The 6,581-nt window shown below is 41.4% G+C and overlaps 1 annotated feature.

The window, feature by feature from the left end:
• Window positions 3,565-4,071: an enhancer, noted in NCBI's record as "NANOG hESC enhancer chrX:4722126-4722632 (GRCh37/hg19 assembly coordinates)". NCBI's record gives its function as "activates a minimal SCP1, AML or CMV promoter by ChIP-STARR-seq in primed H9 embryonic stem cells {active_cell/tissue: H9 hESC(primed)}" and the evidence as "EXISTENCE:reporter gene assay evidence [ECO:0000049][PMID:30033119]".

Here is a 6,581-nt window from a genome sequence, read left to right as displayed (position 1 = left end):
ATCTAATGCCTGATGATCTGTCACTGTCTCCTGTCACCCCCATATGGGACCATCTAGTTGCAGGAAAACAAGCTCAGGGCTCCCACTGATTCTACATGATGGTAAGTTGTAGAATTATTTCATTCTATATTACAATGGAATAATAGTAGAAACAAAGTGCACAATAAATGTAATGCCCTTAATCATCCTGAAACTTTCCCCCCAACCCTGGTCTGTGGAACAATAGTCTTCCATGACACTTGTCCCTGGTGCCAAAAAGGTTGAGGGCTGCTGCTTTAAGCAATAGGATGTCAGCAGACACATGATATAAGCAGGCACATTCAAAAGTGCTTTTCTGTTACCACATCTTCTCCTGGAGGCTCCTACTACCGAGGCTAGCCTACTGAAGGATGAGAGACCATAGGAAGGAGAGTTCACTTGTTCTAGCGGAGGCCATTTTTGACCAACCTGCCTCTGGGCAACCCATCACCCAACCTCAAACAGATGGGATCAGATCTTGACTTGAAAAATATTAAACAACAAGCAGAAAAAGAAATATTAAAATGCTGTCATTGGGAAAAACCCAAATATTTGTGGAATTATTGGCTCACATTATGTTTTCTAGAAAAGCAATGTGATGATTAATTGTATGCATCTACTTGACTGGGCTAAGGGATACCCCAATTGTTGGTAAAACATCATTTCTGGGTGTGTCTGTGAGAGTGATTCCAGGAGAGATGAACACATGAGTTGGTAGACTGAGGAAAGAAGATATTCCCTCACCCATGTGGATGGGTATCATCCAATCTGCTGAGGGCCCCCATAGAACAAAAGGCAGTTAGCACCTTTGCAAAATTATGACTGAGACCGTGAAAGAGATCTAACCAACCAACTCCATCTTGCTTCTAAACTTTAAGCTGTCCTTGTTCCTTCCTTGGCATAGGTTGAACTAACTGAGAGGAACTTAGTTTATAGTTCATAGTTTAAAACAAAGATGATAACAGCCCTTTCCCAAAACAAACCTCCTTCTTGCCTGGGGAATAGACTGCCTTTGAAGGACTAACAAATTAGCTACAAGATTAGAAATTATGGTTTAGGAGTCATGTAGCTGGAGGCTACAAGATTCTGACCCTCCCTAAACTGCTTCTACAAATAGTGCCTGAAATATTTTGCAGATCCCACACTTGATGGATCAGCTGGCACCACCCACATTGATAAACCAGCTGATCTTATCTTGTGGCTCCCACCCAGGAATGGACTCAGCACAACAGGACAGCTTCAACTTCCCATGATTCCATCTCCAACCCAACCAATCAGCTCTCTTGACTCACTGGTCTTCCCCCACCCACCAAGTTGTCCTTAAAAACTCTGCTGCCCAAATGCTCTGGGAGACTGATTTGAGTAGTAATAAAACTCCAGTCTCCTGCACAACCGGCTCTGCATGAATTACTCTTTCTTTACTGTAATTCCCCTGTCTTGATAAATTGGCTCTGTCTAGGCAGCAGGCAAGTTGAACCTGTTGGGTAGTTACAAGCCGACAAAGCTCTGCTTGATCTTGGACCTCTGTCTTCTTCTACCCTCAGTCATCAGAGCCCTTGCTTCTCAGGCATTGCAGACTCCAGGGTTTACAGCAGTGTCCCTCTAGGTCCTCAGGTCTTTGGACTCAGACTGAATGACACCACTGGCTTTCCTGGAGGGTCCACCTTGCAGAGGGCAGATTAAAATCTGATTCCATAATCCTAAGCTTAAGCAATCCTCCCGCCTTGGCCTCCCAAAATGCTGGGATAACGGGTGTGAACCACCATGCTGGGTCAGCCACATGGTTTTTATCTCAACCAGTCAACTGCTGTTGTAGTGAGAATGCAGCCAAAGAAAGCGCATTAAAAAAGACTGTGGTTATGCACCAATAAAACTTTATTATCACAAACAGTTGGCCAGCCCACAGCCCATAGTTTGACAACTATGGTTCTAGATATCCACAGCCATTTTTACAGCATGTGCATGATACATCTTTGTAAGGAGAAAACTGAATGTTGGTGCTTAGAACTATGAGGTGGAAATTAAAGAAAGAAAAATAAAAAGAAAAAAAAGGCTTTCCTGTATTAGGCTGACTTATCCCAGAGGCAGCAACAGGCACAGCCCAGACCCAGGAAGAGCCTCCATAAACACTATCTGAGAAGTTAGGACACAAAGGAATGTGCTCTGGAGACTCTCCCAGCACTCCCTCAACATAGGGAGGAGAAAAGCAATTTTCGTTTCTCTTATGGTATGAGTTTATAGATTCCTGTTCTCTGTAACTGGTAACTTCAAGCATTCTGTTTTATCTAAGCGGTACAGTGAAGGTCATGAGCTATCTGAGCAGGCCTGGACTACAGCCACCTGGGCGACATAGTGAAGGTTATGAGATAAGCCCAGGCAAGGCACTAGAGCAAGCCTAGATAATAGCCATCTGGGCCACATAGCAAGATGTCACGTGTAATCCTGAGTAATGCACCTGTCACAATTTGATTAACTGCCTTTGTTTTGCCTCTGTATCCTTGCTTTTGCTTCGCACCACTGTAAGCTTGTTTCAGGCTAGCCAACCCCCTTTTTGAAGTGTGTATAAAGGTCAAGTGCTGTCTTTGTTCTGGGCCCAGTCTCTGAATGATAATCCACTGGGTCTGAGTGCACTGAATAAAATACTTCTGCTTTACCCTGTGGCGTCTCTGGTCCTCCTGATTCCCGCAACACTTAATGTCAGGATTCTATCAACCAGACATTACTGCTTGCTCCAGGCAATGTATACAAAGCATTAGAAGCTTGTAAACCAATGAGTAACTTCATAGCTAGATTTAGGAACTTCCTGAAAAGTCTATGTATTATAGTATCAGATGATTTAACTGGATAACCAGCCCACTTCTGAGGATAATTGATAATGTAGAGCAGCAAACTCTCTTGTTTATTATATCAATTCTTCATTCTTCAAGACTCATTTCAAAAATTTTCCATTGCAAGCCAAGCCCAAGCTACCATACCCAATGTTGCCCACATTTAATCCAACACCCACCTCAAAAGACCTGTCTGAAAGCATGTGAACCTAGAACAGTGTTCAGGCAAAGAGTTAAGGAAATCTCTTAGCAGAAATTGCATTTTGTTGTTTCTTCTCTGTGCTATTCTGCTTTGCAAAATCTAGCTGCCCTGACCTCCTCAAGCGCTGTGTTTTGTCTCTTGAACTCAAGGAGACCTCTGTGCTCTGGTTGTATCACCATTTCCTAAACAACCCTAACCTGGGGCACTCTCTCCCAGGGCTTAGCTGTAGCTGTTTCTAATCTCTCAGAGACTGCCTTACTGTGCTCCCTAATGTCTCACTTGTGTAGGCAGAGGAAGTTGTTTAGTATACTTTTTGTTTTTCTAATTTTTTCATGTGCTCTCATTCTGGTAAACCTTTCATATCCATGAGAACTAAGCTCTGATTTTTTTATCTTGCCCAAATTCCTATCTAAGAGGTCTGGAGAGTCATGCCCTACAAACCATAAATCCTCATCAGATGAATTTCATTTAACCCTATATATTGTGACTTACTTTCCAGTCTGACTCTGGCATAACAGTATGAGACAAGGAAAAAGTTAAAATATTTTACCCCAAAACATGTTTCTTTGCCATACCTTGAAATGGCTCTGCAAAGCTGTCTTTTGTGGGAGAAAATTTGCATCTGTAAAGAATCTCTATTAACATAGCTACATCTTTTTCTTCCAGACCCTCCCAATCCTAAAAAGATTAATTAAGAGTCTAGCACCTTTTAAAGATCTGAATAGGAAACACTTGTCATCTGTTGTCTCTAAGGGCAGCCACTATAAGAATTCAAAAGAACCTTGATCTCCCCAGAATATATAAAACCAAGCTGCACTCGAACCATTTTGGGCACATGTTCTCAGGACATCCTGAGGGCTGTGTCACAATCCATGGTCACTCATATTTGGCTCAGAATAAATCTCTTCAAATATTTTACAGTTTGACTCTTTTCATCGGCATCCAGAAGGAGAATTCTGGATATTTAATTGGGAGTGTCAGGTTAGGTTGAAATTTCATTTAACTTCGAGATTAAGGGTGGGACATGAATGGGGTTGGGATTTGTATTTGCTTAAATGTTCTGATTCCCATTTTTCATTTTCTTTGCATATGAGTTTTTACATGATGGCTATTTTGGTCTAGGCACTTTGTACGCAGGGTGGATGACAAAGAATTTAACCGAAAACTTTTATGTCACTGCAGAAAAGTGAAACTTCTTCAATGAGTGGTGTCATATGTGTGTGTGGGTCGGGGGAAAATGTATTTGGGAGTAGCATCATGTATCCTTGATTTTTTTCTTCTGTGAAAGGTCCTGAATGTCTCTTCCTTTCCATTTCTTTTCACTACATCATCTCCAAAGACAGCATTTCATTCTTTTTTACAACTGACTCCCCAAAATTTGTCAAGTTGTTCCTGGAAAGGAGGTGCTGATGCAGAACCTAAGAGAAGGTTCTTGGACCTTGCACAAGAAAGAATTTGGGGTGAGTCCATAAAGTGAAAGCAAGTTTATCAAGAAAGTAAAGGAATAGGCCGGGCGTGGTGGCTCACGCCTGTAATCCCAGCACTTTGGGAGGCCAAGGTGGGCAGAACACAAGGTCAGGAGTTCGAGACCAATCTGGCCAACATAGTAAAACCCCGTCTCTACTAAAAATACAAAAAATTAGCCAGGTGTGGTGGTGTGTGCCCGTAATCCCAGCTACTCAGGAGACTGAGGCAGGAGAATCATGTGAACCTGGGAGGTGGAGCTTGCAGTGAGCCGAGATTGTGCCATTGCACTCCAGCCCGGGTGACAGTGTGAAACTCCGTCTCAAAAAAAAAAAAAAAAAAAAAAAGAAAGTAAAGGAATGAAAGAATGGCTACTACACAGGCAGAGCAGCTCTGAGGGCTGCTGGTTGCCCATTTTTATGGTTATTTCTTGATTGTATGCTAAACAAGGGGTGGATTATTCATGCCTCCCCTTTGTAGACCATATAGGATAGCTTCTTGAAGTTGTCATGGCATTTGTGAACTGTCACAGTGCTGGTGGGAGTGTAGCAGCGAGGATGACCAGCAGTCACTCTTGCTGCCATCTTGGTTTTGGTAGGTTTTGGCTTCTTTACTGCAACCTGTTTTATCAGCAAGTTCTTTGTGACCTGTATCCTGTACTAACCTGCTATTTCATCCTGTGACTTAGAATGCCTAACCTCCTGGGAATACAGCCCAGCAGGTCTCAGCCTTATTTTACCTAGCCCCTATTCAAGATGGAGTTGCTCTGGTTTGAACACCTCTGACAAAGTGAGCAGCACCCTGAAACCTTCCAGTTTCATCTTAGTAGTCAATGATCTGATATTCAAGATACCTTTATGACTATTTTTGCAGTTAATGTAGACTTTCTATTTTTAGGAGTATATTGGGTCAATCTTTAGACTGCTTTTCCCATCCTTGCCTTATTTTTTGTTCTGTTTTTGAAACAGAATCTCTTTCTGTTGCCCAGGCTGTAGTGCAGTAGTGAAATCATAGCTCACTGCAGGTCAAACTCTTGGGCTCAAGCAATCCTCCTGCCTCAGCCTCTTGAGTGGCTGGAAGTACAGGCATGTGCCACAACATTAGGCTAATTATTGTTTTGGATCAGGGGAGAGATATAGTTTCACTATGTTACCCAGGCTGGTCTCAAAATCCAGGGCTCAAATCCTCCCACCTTGGCTTCCCAAAGCACTAGGATTATAGGTGTGAGCCACCACATCTGGCCTTCATTCTCTTTGAATATTGTATAGAACCCCCTAGTTCTCTGCCAGAGATTTTTGCAGGTACTGTGTGCAAGCTTAGGAGATGGCTTCTCCAGAATTTTTGTTAAAATTGTTTCTTCATTCAAATTATTTGAAGTTTACAGTGTTATTTTTTTCTTATACGTTATACTGAAGGCATAGAGTTTCCTTGGTTTTATTTTATCTATTAATTGTATCTATTGACCTATAAATTTTTTTTGGAGGTTGTGTTAAAAGATATGGATTTAGGTGGCCACCGTTACATTGGCCTCCTGCAATTATGTTTTAAAACCTAGTTCGATTTGAAGTCCTGTAAACCACAAATAACTCGGTGTTGCTTTGAGAATATACAGCTACCTCTAGTATTCCTTTTAGATCTTCAGTGTTCCCAGAAATTATTCACTTATCATAAACATACTTCTGAGAAATATGCATCCTTTAGATGTCATAGTTTCTTTACCCTCCTAACAGCAAAAAATGGATCTCATGCCAAAAATCTTCTGCTATTGATAAGAACTGTCAACAAACAAAATAGTGTGCACATGCTTTTCTTATAACTGAATGATTAAGTAAGTATCACTATGCAAATTTAATAGTCCTGAAACATAGACATATAAAGTGGTCATTTTCTTACTCTTCTGTTTATTGACTAACATGTTACTGATGCAATTTTCTCTCTATCTTCTTTGAATCCTTTCCACCAAGCAGAGTTTTTAATGCAAACACTGATCATGAATGTAAAGTGATTTCTGGGGTTGTCTGCAGCATCCACATATGCATGCTCTTTAAATATACTTTCTATTTCAGAAA

This window comes from Homo sapiens, chromosome X (assembly GCF_000001405.40).
Source record: "Homo sapiens chromosome X, GRCh38.p14 Primary Assembly".
NCBI classification, from domain to species: domain Eukaryota; kingdom Metazoa; phylum Chordata; class Mammalia; order Primates; family Hominidae; genus Homo; species Homo sapiens.
The sequence above is the reverse complement of the archived record's forward strand: the minus strand, read 5'-3'. Positions and strand labels throughout refer to the sequence as shown.